The sequence below is a fragment of the Homo sapiens genome, chromosome 4 (assembly GCF_000001405.40).
Source record: "Homo sapiens chromosome 4, GRCh38.p14 Primary Assembly".
Lineage (NCBI taxonomy): Eukaryota > Metazoa > Chordata > Mammalia > Primates > Hominidae > Homo > Homo sapiens.
Window position 1 is genome coordinate 38416668 of NC_000004.12, and position 19528 is coordinate 38436195.

At 40.9% G+C, this 19528-nt stretch overlaps 1 long non-coding RNA gene across 1 annotated transcript in view, besides 1 other annotated feature; it reads right to left on the reverse strand.

Annotated features, from left to right (window-relative positions):
* Positions 1–3994: 3994 nt before the first annotated feature.
* The window catches only part of LINC01258 (long intergenic non-protein coding RNA 1258), a 102519-nt gene continuing 86985 nt past the window's right edge, over positions 3995–19528 (reverse strand). The window contains exons 7-8 of the long non-coding RNA NR_110951.1: positions 14537–14657; positions 3995–4645 (exon numbers count right to left, since the gene is read on the reverse strand). This is a non-coding gene — a long non-coding RNA (long intergenic non-protein coding RNA 1258). The remainder of the gene's footprint in view (positions 4646–14536; positions 14658–19528) is intronic.
* Positions 8019–8551: an enhancer, noted in NCBI's record as "NANOG-H3K4me1 hESC enhancer chr4:38426307-38426839 (GRCh37/hg19 assembly coordinates)". NCBI's record gives its function as "activates a minimal SCP1, AML or CMV promoter by ChIP-STARR-seq in primed H9 embryonic stem cells {active_cell/tissue: H9 hESC(primed)}" and the evidence as "EXISTENCE:reporter gene assay evidence [ECO:0000049][PMID:30033119]".

A 19528-nucleotide genomic window follows, 5' to 3' on the forward strand; every position in this document is an offset into this window, starting at 1 on the left:
CAGTCACTACCTGAGTGACCTTGTAAGTTACTTAACCTTTACAAACATCAGTTTCCTCATATAGGATAATATCTCTCTTATCTCATAGGATGATTGTGAAGAATAAGTGGAATAAGGTATACAAAGGGCTTATCACAGTGCTGGGTACATAGTAAGCACTTATTAAGTGTCTGCTATTCTTGCTGCTATTTTCATTACTTTTATTATTTCTAGTGTTAGTCTCTTCTTGCACTTCTATAAAGAAATACCTGAGATAGGGTAATTTATAAAGAAAAGAGGTGTAATTGGCTCACAGTTTTTCAGGCTGTACAGAAAGCCTGGCACCATGTCCTCTGCTTCTGGGGAGGCCTCAGGTAACAATCATGGCAGAAGGCAAAGCAGGAGCCAGCACTTCACGTGACTGGGAGCAGGAGGAAGACAGCGAGGGGGAAGGTGCTACGTACTTTCAAACAACCAGGTCTCATGAGAACTCACTCACTATACAATACCAAGGGGGGAGGGTGCCAAACCATTCGTGAGAACTCTGCCCCCATGATCCAATCACCTCCCACAGACTCCACCTCCAGCACCTGAGATTACATTTCAGCATGAGATTGGGTGAGGACATAGATCCGTATTATTGTTATTATAGTTACTATTATAATTATCAAATAATTATTATAGCTTTTAATCCATATAGTTCAAATAACTTGCATCAAGCAATTTTCAATATGAAAAACCAGAAATAAGTGGGGATAAGAACTTAAAATTCTACATGTAGAAGTTGGGTCATTTGTCTCTAGTAATACTCTGGACCAAGAAAAGTAAGCCCTGCCCAGCCAATGGAATGTTAGCTCTTCTCACTCTTCAGTGAGCGATGCCAGAATAAAATAATTCTATCAGACCAATTGACTGTCTAGTCTGGAAAACAAGAAATATAGCCATCTGTTTTTCAAAATACTAATTCTAGAATTTAGAGTTATGCTGTCCAACATGGTAGCCACTGCTCATGTACAGCTACTTAAATTTTAACTAATTAAATTTAAATTTACAATACAGGTCCTCAGTCACACTAGGTACATTTCAAGTACTAAAGAGCTACATGTGGCTTGAGGCTACCATATTGAATGTGCAGATATAGAATGTTTCCATCATCACAGAAAGTTCTGTGAGACAGTGCTGGTCTATTTTAGACTATTAGTTGCCCTAAATAACCTATGTAAATACATCTGATTATTATTTAGTATGATCTAACTTGCTAATGGATAACTATACAACTTGGTAATTGGATGAATCATAGGTCTGAGAAACACCAAAAAGTTTCTACGGGCATTCATGGAGATCCACATCACGCATGTGTGAATTCCATGGATATGCATATACAACAAATACCTACCCTCTCAGGTAATTTAAAGAAAAACAAAACAAAAACAGTAAGCAAAGATGCCAAACTAAATGATTAACAAGAGTTGGATTATTTAAATTTTTATTAGTCTTGGCTTTCAAAATTATTTTATTGCAACTCATAGAAAGAAACTTAGTTTATATGGTAACCCAGTACAAGCACACATAAACACAATTGAAACAGAGGTTTCACAAAATAACACTAGTCCTTACTACATGTAAATATTCTGATATTTTCTATTTCCTCCTCTTCCTCATCTTTCTTCACTTCTTCTTTCTCTTTCTTTTCCTCTTTGTAGTATTGTGTATTAGTCTGTTTTCATGCTGCTGATAAAGACATATCCGAGACTGGGCAATTTTCAAAGGATAGAAGTTTAATGGAGAACTCACAGTTCCACAAGGCTGAGGAAGCCTCACAATCATGGTGGAAGGCCAGGAGGAGCAAGTCACATCTTATGTGGATGGCAGCAGGCAAAAAGAGTGTTTATGCAGAGACACTCCTGTTTTTTAAACCATTATATCTCGTGAGACCCATTCACTATCACTAGAACAGCACAAGAAAAACCTGCCGCCATGATTCAACCAACTCCCACCAGGTCTCTCCCACAATATTTGGGAATTATGGGAGCTACAAGATGAGATCTGGGTGAGGACACAGAGCCAAACCATATCATTCTGCCCTGGCCCCTCCCAAATCTCAACTCTTCACATTTTGAAACCAATCATGCCTTCCCAACAGTCCCCCGAAGTCTCAACTCATTTCATCATTAACTCAAAAGTCCACAGTCCAAAGTCTCATCCAAGACAAGGCAAGTCCCTTCCATCTATGAGCCTGTAAAATCAAAAGTAAGTTAGTTTCTTCCTAGATATAATGGGGTATAGGCATCAGGTAAATACAGCCATTCCAAATGGGAGAAATTGGCCAAAACAAAGGGGCTACAGGCCCCATGCAAGTCTGAAATCCAGTGGAGCAGTCAAATCTTAAAGCTCCAAAATGATCTCCTTTGACTCCATGTCTCACATCCAGGTCATGATGATTCAAGAGGTGGGTTCTCATGGTCTTGGGCAGCTCCACCCCTGTGGCTTTGCAGGGTACAGCCTCCCTCCTAGCTGCCTTCACAGGCTGGCATTGAGTGTCTGTGGCTTTTCCAGGTGCAGAGTACAACCTGTCAGTGGATCTACCATTCTGGGATCTGGAGGATGGTGGCCCTCTTTTCACAGCCCCACTAGGTGGTGCCCCAGTAGGGACTCTGTGTGGGGGCTCCGACCCCACATTTCCCTTCTGCACTGCCCTAGCAGAGGTTCTCCATGAGAGACCCGCCCTGTGGCAAACTTCTCCTGGACATTTCCCTACCTCCTCTGAAATCTAGGTGGAGGTTCCCAAACTCCAATTCTTGACTTTTGTGCACTCCCAGGCTCAACACCACATGGAAGCTGCCAAGGCTTGGGGCTTGCACCTTCTGAAGCCGTGGATGGAGCTCTACATTGGCCCCTTTCAGCCATGGCTGGAGAGGCTGGGATGCAGGGAACTAAGTCCCTAGACCACACACAGCACAAGGACCCTGGGCCCAGCCCAGGAAACCACTTTTTTCTCCTAGACCTCCAGGCCTGTGATGGGAGAGGCTGCTGTGAAGATCTCTGACATGCCCTGGAGACATTTTCCCCATTGTCTTATGGATTAACATTTGGCTCCTCATTACTTATGCAAATTTCTGCAGCCAGCTTGAATTTCTTCTCAGAAAATGGGATTTTCTTTTCTATCACATTGTCAGGCTGCAAATTTTTTAGACTTTTACACTCTGCTTCCCTTATAAAACTGAATGCCTTTAATGGCACCCAAGTCACCTCTTGAATGTTTTGCTGCTTAGAAATTTCTTCTGCCATGTACCCTAAATCATCTCTCTCAAGTTCAAAGTTCCACAAATCTCTTGGGCAGGGACAAAATGCTGCCAGTCTCTTTGCTAAAACATAGCAAGAGTCACCTTTGCTCCAGTTCCCAACAAGTTCTTCATCTCCACCTGAGACCACCTCAGCCTGGATTTCATTGTCTATATTATTATCAGCATTTTGGTCAAAGTCATTCAACAAGTGTCTAGGGAGTTCCAAACTTTCCTGTGTTTTCCCATCTTCTTACGCGCCCTCCAAACTGTTCCAACCTCTTCCTGTTACCTTTCAAAGTTGCTTCCACATTTTTGGGTATCTTTTCAGCAGTGCCTGACTCTAGTGGTACCAATTTACTGTATTAGTTTGTTTTCATGCTGCTGATAAAGACATACCCGAGACTGGGCAATTTACAAAGGATAGAGGTTTAATGGAGAGCTCACAGTTCCATGTGGCTGGGGAGGCCTCACAATCACGGCAGATGGCAAGGAGGAGCAAGTCACATCTTACATGGATGGCAGCAGGCAAAAAGAGGGCTTGCGCAGGGAAACTCCCATTTTTAAAATCATCAGATCTCATGAGACCCATTCACTATCACTAGAACAGCATGGGAAAGACCCACCCCCATGATTCAGCCATTTCCCACTGGGTCCCTCTCACAACACGTGGGAATTATGGGAACTATAAGATGAGATTTGGGTGGGGACAGAGAGCCAAACCATATCATACTGGTTATCCAAGACACTGATTTAATGACTCCCACAATGGGATGACCTATAGTTTGAAAAACACTGATCTAGACTGGGGGTTGTAAACTCAAATGCTGAAAGTGGCTGGATGAGTGAGCGGAGAGGGCTGTGTGGAGACTATGAGTAAACACAGAGCATATGACCCTTTGAAAGGGCACAACAACTGTTCAGCTCCAATCAGTCTTTTCTATGTGGAATATACTTAGAACTGTTGCTGGAACTTCTGATGGTTTAAGAGAAGTCATATATCCAGATATTTTTGTAAAACTTCCCAATTTAGAAGTGTGGCAAATAATTATTTAAAATTTCAAATACTTGCCAGCCAAACAAAACAAATTTCTTAAATGGGATTGGTCTGATCAAAGATTAATTTTCTAGTTCCAGGGGTAAAACTGGAAGCAGGTTCTTTTTCCTCTAAATGAGAATGTGGAATCCCCCAAAACTGATATAGCACAATCCTTCTGTCCTCACATGACCCAGTGGGGAGGGAAGGAAGGAAGGATCCTCTGCTGAAGAAAGGAGTTGAAAGTGACCAGTTCTCCTTGAATGAGGCTGTGTTGGGTGTCCACTGATGCCCAAGAACAGAAGGAATCAGTCATTCCATCAGCACATAGTCCCCAGCTTATCCTTGCCTAGTCAAAGAAGTGAAAGAAGCTCCATTAGCTGGTCTCAGCCCAAGCTGTCCCTCAGTAATGGCTATAGGGTCCTTTATCTTTGAAAGCTCAGTTAGTTCTTACTTGTACATATACTGGCTAGGCATCCAGGAGCTGGGCTGCCAAGGTACAAAAGCCTATCAATTATCTAAAAACATCTATAAGGAAAACATACTTCAATTTCAAACATAAATCCTACTACTGTATCATTAAAAGGTTGTATCAGACAGCTTTATATTTAAATATCTGGATTTTACCTATTAGGTTAAGCCATGTAAAATCGCCAATATTCCAACATTTTTAAAATAAGCTTTTAATTTGGAATAATTTTAGATTTTTGGAATTCATAGAAAAGTTGCCAAGATTATAGAGAGAATTCCTATACACATCTTTTACCTCATTTCCCCTAATGTTAGCATGTTACACAATGGTCTTAGTTCATTTCATATTGCTATAAAAGAACACATGAAGCTGGGTAATTTATAAACAATAGAAGTCTATTTTGTTCAGGGTTGTGAAGGCTGGGAAGTCTAAGAGCATGGGTCCAGCATCTGGTGAGGGCTTTTGTGCAGTGTCATCACATGGCTGAAGGTAGAAGGGCAAGACAGCATGAGAGTGAAAGTGCAAGAGCAGGAGGAGGCTCAACTCACTTTTGTTGTTGTTGTTGTTTGTTCATTTTGAGGAAGGGTTTTTCTCTATCACCCAGGCTAGAGTGCAGTGACATGATCTCGGCTCACTGCAAGCTCTGTCTCCTGCGTTCATGCCATTCTCCTGCCTCAGCCTCCCGAGTAGCTGGGACTACAGGCGCCCACCACCACACCCGGCTAATTTTTTGTGTTTTTAGTAGAGACCGGGTTTCACCGTGTTAGCCAGGATGGTCTCAATCTCCTGACCTCGTGATCCACCCACCTTGGCCTCCCAACGTGCTGGGATTACAGGCATGAGCCACGGTGCCAGGCCATACCTGACTAATTTTTTTTCGTTCTTTGTAGAGACAGGGTCTCACTATGTTATCCAGGCTGATCTGGAACTCCTGGCCTCAAGCAATCCTCCTGCCTCAGACTCCCAAAATGCTGGGATTATAGGTGTGAAACACCATGCCTGGCCTGAACTCACTTTTCTAACAAACCTACTCTCACCAAACAAACCCACTTCCATGTAATGAAATTAATCTATTCATGATGTCAGAGCTGTCGTGACCTAATCACCTATTAAGTCTTATCTCCTAACTTTGTTGCATTGGGGATTATGTTTCCAACACATGAACTTTAGGGGACACATTCAAACCATAGAAATAACCAAGATACATGTAGAAAAACTAAGAAATTCACATTGGCACATTATTATTAGCTGAACTACTTCATTTGGATTTCATCGGTTTTTTCATTAATATCTTTTTTCTGTTCCAGAATGCATTCTAATCATTTTCTGTTCCATATTGCATTTAATTCAACATTTTGATCTACACAAAAAGGCTATTTTACATGTACCTAATACTTTAGGAATCAAATTAGCAACTAAAGAAGAAAAGTCTTATTACAACATGGCCATTAGGTCCTAGGAAGAAGATTACCTTGGGGAACCGTCATCAACATGCATCCACTGCCAGTTTGAGAAGCTCATCTCATCTGGACTCTAGATACAGCCATAGGCTTCTGAATCTCTGTTGCTTGGCCTAGTGCAGCGTGTGGCATGAAGGAAGTGCCCAATAAACACATGCTGAATATCTACTGCTTGTCCGCAAATAAGAATTAAGTGCCTGGAAACCCAAACAGGGGCAGAAAAGCCACTTCCTGCCCAGAAATTGCTCTGTGATTAATTTCATTGTTCATCTAGAACTAACACCATCTTGAAATACCGATGTTTGCATTAGTTTGCCAGGGCTTCCATAACAAGGTACCACACAGTGGGTGCTTAAACAATAGGAGTTTCTTCTCTCATAGTTCCAGAGGCTGCAAGTCCCAACTCAAAGTGCTGCCAGGGCTGGCTTCTTCTAAGACCACTCTTTTTAGCTTGAGGATGGCCTTCTGCTCCCTGTGCCCCACATACATCTCCCTCCTTGCAGGTCTGTCCAAATCTCTTCTTACAAGGACACCAGAGATCAGATTAGGGCTTACCCCAGTGAACTCATTTTAACTTAATTACCTCTTTAAAGACCCTGTCTCAAAAAACAGTCACATTCTGAGACACTGGGGGTTAGGGATTCAACATACACATTTTGGGGGAATAGAACTCAGTCCGTAATAATGTTGAACACATCTGACGTTTAGGGGTCAAAAAGAAAAATCAGAAGAACTTTCCTGAATCCAGTTATCATTCATCCCCAAAGGCTCGATCTGTTACCCTTTCTCCGGATTATTTTGAATGCTTTACTGCATGACTAGACCTATGTCAGTTGCTATCAGAGAGTGTTGCTTCCTTCCATGTTAATGCAAGCCCCTCAGCAAGATTGGATCTCTAAAATGCCTTCAGCCAGCTTAGTACAATGCCGAAAAGCTCTAGAAGTTACTTTATGTATTTGTTTGACTGACTACAGAAAAACACCCATCTCAGCAACTCATAAAGCAGAAGGAGAGGCATTAGGGGTAGTGTTGTCAGCAGGGCCAGGGGGCAGTGCATAAAGCCCTTTTATCAGTCAAATTCTGTGCTTCAGAGAACCTAGGTCGGTCCAAAGCACATTTTTCTAATTCATTCATGTCTGTGTGCGTGTACACGCGTGCGCACACCAGAAATCATTATAATATTTTTAAAGTGTGTCTACAAGGCTGTGATCTTTGGAGACTTTCAAAAATGAAAACAATCACAGGGTGCAGACATTGCCTGACAGGCAGGGGACTGAAAGCAAAATTAAATAATGAACAGGCCAAGGGCACTGGGGGCAGGAATCTGAAGTAGAAGCCTTCAGAGCAAGCACTTTGATAAAGAAAAGAAAGGCTACCGAAGGAAAAGCAATTAATGGGGAAGGGGCTGGTACTAAAATGAGCCCAGGGAAAGCTGCTGGGGACAGGAGGGAGGGCAGGGTGCACTGGAGAGTGGTGGGGTGGTGGTGGGGGAACCAACGTGCTCGCCAGGCCGTCATTAGCCCAGAATTATCAGGCACCTGAAACAACAAGGTCAAGAATGTGACCTGAACGATAGATGAAATATTTGTTTAGGAAGCCACATGCTGGGAGAAAGACTCAAAGAGTTAAACTGGGGTGCTTACCTTTTCTGATTGTAGAATTAAACAACAACAAAAATACAAGCAAAGCCTATAGATTCATTTTATTAATGTCCTGAAGAAAACTGATCAGATACTGAGTGTGGGGAGACAGCAGGCTCTGTCTGATCTCTCAGTGTAGGGACCAGAAGGGCAGGGGGAGGAACGCGGGCATAGACTGGGCCTCAGCCCCTCCCCAGCAGGGCCAGCAGCCTCGCCAACCAGGGCATCCGGATTCCAGGCCTCCTGGACAAAGGGCCCTTCCCCCCTTGTCAGCCTTCCTGTTCCCTGGGATTGTGTGGCCCAACCCTTTGATCAAACTAGGGTATTATGTCTACAGACAACTGCTTTAAATATCAAGGTTTCAGGGCTGGCTCTTGGGTCCCTCAGCTTCTCCATTAAAAAAAAAAAAAAAAAAAAAAAAGCAAGTATATGCCTGGGCTTTTTAGGATTTCTGTTTTCCACCTTAAAATAACCTGGTCTCTAACAGGGCTTTCCAAAGCTGTCCCAGCCCTTGGAAAATGTCAGAAGATGACCAGGTGGACGCATCATGAACAGAAATCGGCAGCTTAGTGTTTCTGCTGGTTGTGGCCTAAATGCTCTTTTACAATGGAAGGAGAATCTACTCGTGGCCAATGTGAATTTCGAAAAAGTTGTACTTGAAGTAACGGACTGGGAGCCAGGATTCTAGGGTTCCAGACCTGGTTCTGCAGCACACTCTGAGTCTTTTAGTCATTTAGTCTCTCTGGATTAGAGTTTTCCCTTTTTACACAAAAAGGGATGTTTTTGGATGTTTAAACTTGCCAAGCTCTGATGCCAGATTTAAAAATCCTACAATTCTTTCACTGCTATGTATTCCCTAAAAAGAACGTTCTGCCTGACCCTGCAATAACCTAAGTACTATGTATTTCATCAGCTTCAAGAAATAGTTAAATGGAAAGACGAAAATGAAAAACTGTCTCGGATGGTAACACCTTCTCCATAACTCACCAATTTAATAAGGAGCTGGAGTCTAACATGGCCAGATCATAATACCTCTGGGTAACAGTTTTCTGATTTTACTTAGAGAAAATATAATAAAAATGCTATTCTAGATGGATCCATTTCTTTTGCCTCTTGCCCCATAAATCACTTCCCTTTCTAGTCAACAGAAAACCCCTCCCTCACAGTAGTAGCAAGAAAATTGAGGCAGGTGCAAGACAAGAGAAGTAGATCAAGTTGAGATCTATTGAAAATTGCAAAAGATTTGCCATAAAATTGTATTTAACAGAGCAAGAAATTCTGATGTATATCTGAAAGTAGCTTTGCTAAGTTATGATTGCGTTAGCCACATGTGGAAAAGTGCTGAGAATGTCTTATGATTATTATTGGTGACACATTTCCATGTCTTCTATTATCTGAACTCAATGGGATTACTCTTACTAGGTGTACTTATTGAATTTACATAGTGTAGGAGTTCACATTCTGAGGCTTTTCTTCTGGATTGTATGGAAGACGGTTCTGGACATCAGAATCCCAAGGTTTATTTAATTCTTTTTCTGATCTTTGTTTTTACATTTTAAAACATGTTATGAGACCTTATCAATTTCTCAGCACTTCTATTGCCATAATACTTAGGATGAATTAGAGAGCTGCTTTGAGGTTTCTAAGGAGAGCCCTGTCACTGAGTCAGTCTCGACACAAGATCCTCATTTTGGTCCGCAAATCTCAGCCAGAATCAAGACTTCAGTCATTCTCCTGAGACATCCGTTTATGAGGCTGATGTCTAATCTCTGTCTGCTTCCATGCTCAATCTCTTTCTTGAGCCTACCTTATCATACCAAATTTGTTCACCTGGATGTTCTCAGGTATGCTAAATTCAAGTGCTTAAGACTAAATTTGTAATGTTTCCTCCAGAAAGCAACTTCCGTGACACCCTTCATTATATCACTGCTATGGTTTGAATGTCTGTGACCCTCCAAAATTTGAGACCCAATGCAACAGTATCAGGAAATGGGGCCTTTAGGAGGCAGGTTATAGGGGCTCTACCCTCAAGGATGGAATAAGTACCTCATATACCTTCTGCTATATGAGGACACAGCATTTGTCTCCTCCAGAGGACACAGCATTTGAGGTGTCATCTTGGAAGCAAAGACCAGGCTCTCACCAGACACCAAACATGCCAGCACCTTGATCTTGGACTTTCCAGCCTCTAGAACTCTGAGAAATACATCTCCATTGTTTATACATTACTCAATCTAAAGCATTTTGTTACAGCAGCACAAACAGACTAAGATAATCAACAACAATAGTATTTTTCTGGTCACCAGATTTAAACCTCAGCATCATCTCTATATAGTACCTCCCTCTTGCCTGCAGTTTGGTTACTGGGTCATGTCCATTCTTCCTGTGCAGTGTCTTTTTGATCTGTCCTTTCTGGCTGATGCTAGTTGCCATCAATCCCTGATCTTTCAGCTGCCATTTTCTGCCCAACCATCCCATAAATCACTTCCAGATGACTTTATTCACCCAACAATTATCTGATGAGTGCCTACTATGTTATTAAAAAAAAAAACCCAGTAGCACATTGAATGATATCTACAGATCAAGATGTAAACTCCTGAACCCATCACTCAGCCCTACACTGCTGTGGCTAAGCTTGATTGCCATTCACTCTTCTTATATACACCCTCTCTTCTCCAGACAAATAGTTTCACTGAGCTTCCTCTAACTACTTATAGCATTCCTCCTTCTTTAGATTTCCTGCCTGGAAATCCTTTCTTCTTCCTTCATTTGACATTAACCATTTTTCTTATGGTCGTTATTCCATTCACTCAATTCCTATGACTCTGCCGTTCACTCTGTTTCCTTCGCATTTGGCACTTGCAAAAGTGTATTACTCTCTATATTTTCTATATCTTGTCACCTCAAGTGGACCATGAGCACTTCAAGAGAGAGGTAGAGTGTCCACCTTTGTGTCCTATCAGTCTAATTAAATAAATTGCAGGAAGGAAGGAAAATGAACAATCATTGTCTACAGTAGATCAGAGACCTTTATACACTTTTTCCTTTCAATATCTCATTTAATGCTCTAAACCAAAAGGTAGCAAGCTATATCCCATGGGTCAGATCCAGCCTGTCTGGTTTTGTAAATAAAATGTATTGTAATAATGCCACACCTACTCATCTGCATGTTGTCCATGGCTGCTTTTGTGCTACAATGGCAGAGCTGAGTAGCTGTGACAGAGCCTATACAGCCAAGCAAAAACCAAAATATTTACTATCTGTTCCTTTAAGAAAAAGTTGGCGAATCCCTGGTCTAAGCAACTAGAAGAGGTGAGATCTTTTTCTTCTGCTTGTATAGGTGAACAAACAGAAGTTCAGAGAGTTTGGGTAAATTGCTCAAAGTCACACAGCTAATAAGGGACCCAGCAGAAATTTGAAGCTGGGTCTGTGTGATTCCAAAATCTGTAGGCTTTTCATTTGACCAAGGGATATAGTTGGCTATTGCTAATATTTGATGATAGCGAGGTTGTCATCTACATCCTATCCCTTGTATTTTTTTTTTTTTTTACATTTTTGCAGGAAGTAATCCAGTGGCTAGGATTAACTGAGATTTTCCCAGCACATGTCAAATCCCTCTGAATGACCATGCTGCTATAATTTTAGAAGACATTCTGTGTGACGTCACTCCACAGCAGTTATGACATGCTACACGAATGACCTCCAGAAGGGCATGGCTACCTTGAGAGCAAGCACTCTGTCTAGTATTCTCTTATACCCCTGAGCCTCCAGCATGGTCCTGGCATATAATAAACCTCCAACATATATATGTGCAGAATACTAGTTGTGGGAATGACTGTTATTTTGAGATAGAGAAATTATTTTCACGACTACCAGATTTCAGTAGGAATTAAATGGGAAAGTTCCCACTATGGAGTCACAGACCACCTGGATTAAAATGCTGGTGCCATCACTTACCAGGGATGTTATCTCAGGCAAGTTACCTAATTTGTACACACTTTGCTGTTTTTTCCATAAAACAGGAATAATGTTGTTATTTTGATATAATGAAATAAGACAAGTAAAGCACTTATAGCAATTCCTGGTACACAGTAAACAATCAACAAACATAAGTTATCATTGGCTTAAGTAATTGCATCAAAGCTTAGAAAGGTGAATTCATTTTCAAGAGCCATAAAATCACATAAAGTGGGAAAGGCAGCAAAAACAAACAATAAGCAAGCAGAGGAAGAAGGAGACAAGAGAAAGAGGATGAAGAAGGCAAGAAAGTCCCTCCTTTGCTTCATCTCTGCAAAAGATTTCCAGAAAACATTCTTTATCAATAAATAAATGCACTCACGTTCTCAGGAATACATCCTGCTCTACCAGTGAAAATGAGAGGAAGGAAACTTCGACCAACAACAGTTTCAGAAGACAAGCCTCAAATATTAGTAGAGAGGGGAATAAAAGAGCATGGAAAGCAGCACACTTCATCATATTAATTAATGCACATAATAGTCAGCAAAGCCAAAATTGGCCCCTCACCGAGATTCGCATCATTACCCTAAAGTAATTAAACTGCTGCCAAGATCCCACATCACGCGAATCTGTTCTACCTGAAATAGCTACTAAAGTTGTAATCATGCCCCATTTGAAGTCTTGACTTCATGAATATGATTGAGAGCTTGTTGAATGAGGTAAAATTTGTCTAAGGCTTCGAGGGAGGAAAGAGAGAGACGTGCTGCTGATGGCAGGCATCAATCACTGGGTTACAAGCTCCAGTCCTTTCAGAAATCCAATACAGAATGAGTCCCTTATGGATTCCTGGACTATTTTAGAAAAGCTTGCATTAAGATGTGATTCCCATTGATTTCCTGTTCTCTTTCTGCTTTGTTTAGGTTCAACTATAGAAGTTCATACTCTATCTAAAGTGTTGTTTAAAAGATGAAAAGAAAGGATGGTGGGGACAACTTCTCTGACTCTGGATTTCTTTTTCCTATAGGTTTTCTTTTTCCCCTGGAATATCAAATTATCCTTTCTGCTCATGTTTTACCCATTAGTAACTTGGTTTTATATATATTTGAAATGATTTCCAATGACTTAAAAACAGAAGTTCATGTTTTATCCAGTTTTATAAAATTCAACTCTTAGAGTTGGGAAGCCCATTTATTCTCTAAAATGGATCAGGAATATTTTGGAGAAGGCTACCAGCAAAAGGAAATGAGATTTGCCAATATGGCCACTACTCTGCTGGTGTGATATGAGTCTGCACAACAGATCTCGGGGAGCCCCAGAGGGAGGGCAGAGGTGTGGTGCCTGGCTGCCCACATGCTCTTCCTCAGAAATTGCTCTCACGGGTTTCTTCTAGATAAGTCACTGTCTTTGTATAGTGAGACCCTACTTCTCTAAGCACCCCAGATTGGACCTAGTATGGGTGCTTCAGTCAAAGACAGACAGAAGCAGGTTAGAGTTAAGGAAGTCTTGTGGCCCATGAGGTATCTGGCCTTAGAACTGTTATCAGTAAGGGTGTTCCATGTTGGATGTTGGATGTCGACCAATAGATGTTAGGAAGAACAAAAGCAAAAACACTAGGGCTCAGAAACATAGATTCAGAATTAACAGGCACCTTGGCATGAGCAGGGGTAGCTCCCTCAGAGACAGATAGGAGTCAATGTAAAGAATGCAAGAGTCCCTGGAGTCAACAGCAATGGTTCTCATGAGATCATGTTCTTTACTATAACTATTGTTTGAAATATACTTCACAATGCCTCCTTGCTCCCTGGAGCAGTTTTCTTAGTAGGCTGTGGGGGTGTTTGATGGTAGTGGTGACAGGCTGTGCACTTTACTAAGAATTAAAGCAATTTCTATGAAAGTGCCTGGTACTTGTTCTGGTCAACTGTCTATAACCAATGGACAAAGACAAGTTCATAGAATTTGGAGGAACCACAGCACTTCCCTTTCATTTCTGATCAGCTTGGCTAGTCTCTTAGCATAATCCTGAAGAAATGGTGCCAAATTGGTGGACAGTTTGAAGGGACAACCATGTTGAAAAGTGCTGTGCATCAATTTCAGTAAGGAAAAGCAGGAAAGGTGGGACACAGTGGGTTTCCCGGGCAGCATGTCCTTGGAACCTGAGGGGTAAGATGATGTTATAGACTGAATGTGCTCTAACCTCATGCAGTTTAGAATGTGACTATATTTAAAGGCAGGGCCTTTAAAGTGGTGATTAAGTTAAAATGAAGCCATTAAAGAGGGTCCTAATCCAATATGTGTCCTTATAAGGAGACGAAATTTGGACACACAAAGAGAAACAAGGAATGCACACACACAGAGGATATGGCAGCCACTTGCAAGCCGAGGAGAGAGGTCTCGGAAGAAACCAAACCTTGGACTTCCAACCTCCAGAATTATAAGAAATAAACTTCTGTTGTTTAAGCCACCCAGTGTGTGGTATTTTGTTACAGCAGCCCTGGCTGACTAATACAGATGGCATACAGAAAGACTCACTCTCTAAGGAGTTTGGTGTGTATAAGATCCAACTGTAGTGAACTTGTGTCATTTAGATACATGTTAGGGCATGGTGGGAGGGGAGGGTGTTTGCATTTGAGTACCCAGTGCCTGCAGGTGGTGAGGTGGACACTATATACACTCACATTCAACCCTCACAACAGGCTGGTGAAGTGACTTACCCTCCCTTTGTAGATGAAGAAACTGAGGCTTAGCAAGGAAAGAATCACGCCTGAGTTTGCCAGAGAGTGGTCAGGAGTTTCTGGCTCCAAGGCAGACACCAAGTAGTCTCTCAGGAGTCCCCTGACAGGAAGGAAGAGTCTGGTCAAAGTCAGATTCCAGATGGCTGGTGCAGAGGCCTATGCAGAATTACCAAGGCCAAGAAATATCAAAGGCTGGTTAGTGCAACAAGGCAAAATGGTTTGGTCCCTGAACTTTGGAATATAATCATGGCTCTGTCACCTACCAGCTGGAAGACCTTGGGTGCCATATCTTATTAAGCCTCCATTCCTTTACCTGTGAAATTGTAACACCTCTTAAAGTACCATGTTCGGACTTCATAGGATTGTTGAGAAAATTAGATGCATCAATACATTTAAAATACTCTTCGCACTGTGTATTTAGTCAGTGTTCTTCAGAGGTACAGAACCAATAGGCTGCATATCTGTATAGAAAGAGATTTATTTTAAGGAATTGGCTCATGTGCTTGTGGATGCCTGGTGAGTACAAAATCTCATAGACGAAGCCAGCAGGCTGGAGACTCGAGAAAGAGCTGTAGTCAAGTCCAGGAACAGTTTACTGCAGAACCAGGAAGAGCCGATGCTGCAGATGAAGTCTGAAGGCAGTCTGTTGGAGAATCCTTCTTGCTCAAGAAAGATCTGCTTTTTGTTCTTTTCAGGCTTTCAACTGATTGGATGAGGACACCCACATTATGGAGAATGATCTGCTTTATTCAAAATCGAAAGATTTAAGTATAAATTTCATCCAAGAGCCCCCTCACAAAAACATCCAGAATAATGTTTGACCATATATTTGTGGACAGTGGCCCAGCCAAAGTAACACATAAAATTAACCATCACACCATGTGTGGCACTTAGTAAGATCTCAGTAAATGCTCACTTCATCATTTCTATCAAAGTATCAAATGATTATGATTACATTATCATTCTTTTTTTTTTTTTTACTTTAAGTTCTGGGATACATGTGCAGAACGTGCAGGTTTGTTACATAGGTATACATGTGCCATGGTTTGCTGCACCGATCAACCCATCATTTAGGTTTTAAGCCCTGCATGCATTAGGTGTTTGTCCTAATGCTCTCCCTCCCCTTACCCCTCAACCCCTGATAGGCTCCAGTGTATGATGTTCCCCTCTCTGTGCCCATGTGTTCTCATTGTTCAGCTCCTACTTATGAGTGAGAACGTGTGGTGTTTGGTTTTCAGCTCCTGTGTTAGTTTGCTGAGAACGATGGCATCCTGCTTCATCCATGTCCCTCCAGAGGACATGAACTCATTCTTTTTTATGGCTGCATAGTATTCCATGGTGTATAGGTACCACATTTTCTTTATCCAGTCTATCATTGATGGGCATTTGAGTTGGTTCCAAGTCTTTGTTATTGTAAATAGTGCTGCAATAAATATATGTGTGCATGTGTCTTTATAGTGGAATGATTTATAATCCTTTCGGTATATACCCAGTAATAGGATTGCTGGGTCAAATGGTATTTCTGGTTCTAGATCCTGGAGGAATCACCACACTGTCTTCCACAATGGTTGAACTAATTTATACTCCCACCAACAATGTAAAAGAGTTCCTATTTCTCCACATCCTTGCCAGCATCTGCTGTTTCCTGACTTTTTAATGATTACTGTTCTAACTGTTGTGAGATGGTATCTCATTGTGGTTTTGATTTGCATTTCTCTAATGACCAGTGATGATGAGCTTTTTTTCATGTGTTTGTTGTCCTCATAAATGTCTTCTTTAGAGAAGTGTCTGTTCATATCCTTTGCCCATTTATTGATGGAGTTGTTTTTTTCTTGTAAATTTGTTTAAGTTCCTTGTAGATTCTGGATATTAGATCTTTGTCGGATAGGTAGATTGCAAAAATTTTCTCCCATTCTGTAGGTTGCCTGTTCACTCTGACAGTTTCTTTTGCTACGCAGAAGCTATTTAGCTTGATTAGATCCCATTTGTCAATTTTGGCCTTTGTTGCAATTGCTTTTTGTGTTTTAGTCATGAAGTCTTTGCCCATGCCTATGTCCTGAGTGGTATTGCCTAGGTTTTCTTCTAGGGTTTTTATGGTTTTGGGTTTTACATGTAAGTCTTTAATCCATCTTGAGTTAATTTGTGTATAAGGTGTAAGGAAGGGGTCAAGTTTCTGTTTTCTGCATATGGCTAGCCAGTTTTCCCAGCACCATTTATTAAATAGGGAATCCTTTCCTTATTGCTTGTTTTTGTCAGTTTTGTCGAAGATTAGATGGTTGTAGATGTGTGGTGTTATTTCTGAGGCCTCTATTCTGTTCCATTGGTCTATATATCTGTTTTGGTACCAGTACCATGCTGTTTTGGTTACTATAGCCTTGTTGTATAGTTTGAAGTCAGGTAGCATGATGCCTCCAGCTTTGTTCTGTTTGCTTAGTATTGTCTTGGATATTCGGGCTCATTTTTGGTTCCAAATGAGATTTAAAGTAGTTTTTTTTCTAATTCCGCAAAGAAAGTCAATGGTAGCTTGATGGGGATAGCCTTGAATCTATAAATTACTTTGGGCAGTATGGCCATTTTCACGATATTGATTCTTCCTATGCATGAGCATGGAATTTTTTTCCATTTGTTTGTGTCCTCTCTTATTTCCTTGAGCAGTGGTTTGTAGTTATCCTTGAAGGGGTCCTTCACATTCCTTGCAAGTTGTATTCCTAGGTATTTTATTCTCTTTGCAGCAAGTGTGAATGGGAGCTCACTCATGATTTGGCTCTATGCTTGTCTATTGTTGGTGTATAGGAACGCTTGTGATTTTTGCACATGGATTTTATATCCCGAGGTTTTGCTGAAGTTGCTTATCAGCTTAAGGAATTTTTGGGCTGAGATGATGGGGTTTTCTAAATATACAATCATGTCATCTGCAAACAGAGACAATTTGACTTCTTCTCTTCCTATTTGAATATACTTTATTTTTTCCTCTTGCCTGATTACCCTGGCCAGAACTTCCAATCCAATGCTGAATAGGAGTTGTGAGAAAGGCATCCTTGTCATATGCCGGTTTTCAAAGGGAATGCTTCCAGCTTTTGCCCATTCAGTATGATATTGGCTATGGGTTTGTCATAAATAGCTCTTATTATTCTGAGATATGTTCCATCAATACCTAGTTTATTGAGAGTTTTTAGCATGAAGGGATGTTGAATTTTATTGAAGACCTTTTCTGCATCTATTGAGATAATCAGGTGGTTTTTGTCATTGGTTCTGTTTATGTGATGGATCATGTTTATTGATTTGTGTATGTTGAACCAGCCTTGCATCCCAGGGATGAAACCAACTGGATCGTGGTGGATAAGCTTTTTGATGTGCTACTGGATTCAGTTTGCCAGTATTTTATTGAGGATTTTTGCATTGATGTTCATGAGGGATATTGGCCTGAAATTTTCTTTCTTTGTTGTGCCTCTGCCAGGCTTTGGTATCAGGAGGATGCTGGCGTCATAAAATGAGTTAGGGAGGATTCCTTCTTTTTCTATTGTTTGGAATAGTTTCAGAAGGAATGGTACCAGCTCCAATTTGTACCTCTGGTAGAATTTGGCTGTGAATCCGTCTGGTCCTGGGCTTTTTTTGGTTGGTAGGCTATTAATTACTGCCTCAATGTCAGAACTTGTTATTGGTCTATTTGGGTATTTAACTTCTTCCTGGTTTAGTCTTGGAAGGGTGTATGTGTCCAGGAATTTATCCATTTCTTCTAGATTTTCTAGTTTATTTGTGTAGAGGTGTTTATAGTATTATCTGGTGGTAGTTTGTATTTCTGTGGCATCAGTGGTGATATCCCCTTTATCATTTTTTATTGTGTCTATTTGATTCTTCTCTCTTTTCTTCTTTATTAGTCTAGCTAGTGGTCTACCTATTTTGTTGATCTTTTCAAAAAACCAACTCCTGGATTCATTGAGTTTTTGAAGGTTTTTCATGCCTCTGTCTCCTTCAGTTCTGCTCTGATCTTAGTTATTTCTTGTCTTCTGCTAGCTTTTGATTGAATTTGTTTGCTCTTGCTTCTCTAGTTATTTTAATTGTGATGTTAGGGTGTTGATTTTAGATGTTTCCACCTTTCTGATGTGGGCATTTAGTGCTATAAATTTCCCTCTGCACACTGATTTAGCTGTGTCCCAGAGATTCTGGTACATCATCTCTTTGTTCTCACTGGTTTCAAAGAACTTCTTTATTTCTGCCTTAATTTCATTATTTACCCAGTAGTCACTCAGGAGCAGGTTATTCAATTTCCATGTAGTTGTGCAGTTTTGAGTAAGTTTCTTAATCCTGAGCTCTAATTTGATTGCACTGTGGTCTGAGAGACTGTTTGTTATGATTTCTGTTCTTTTGCATTTGCTGAGGAGTGTTTTACTTCCAATTATGTGGTTGATTTTAGAATGATTGCTATGTGGCACTGAGAAGAATGTACGTTCTCTTGATTTGGGATGGAGAGTTCTGTAGATGTCTATTAGGTCCACTTGGTCCAGAGCTGAGTTCAAGTCCTGAATACCCTTGTTAATATTCTGTCTCATTAATCTGTCTAACATTGACAGTGAGGTGTTAAAGTCTCCCACTATTATTGAGTGGGAGTCTAAGTGTCTTTGTAGGTCTCTAATAACTTGTTTTATGAATCTGGGTGCTCCTGTATTGGGCGCATATATATTTAGGAGAGTTAGCTCTTCTCGTTGCATGGATCCCTTTACCATTATGTAATGCCCTTCTTTTGTTTTTTATCTTTGTTGGTTTAAAGTCTGTCTTTTCAGAGACTAGGAGTGCAATCCCTGATTATTTTTCTTTCCATTTGCTTGATAAATATTCCTCCATCCCTTTATTTTGAGGCTATGTGTGTCTTTGCACATGAGATGGGTCTCCTGAAAACAGCACACTAATGCGTCTTGACTCTTTATCCAATTTGCGAGTCTGTGTTCTTTAATTGGGTCATTTAACCCATTT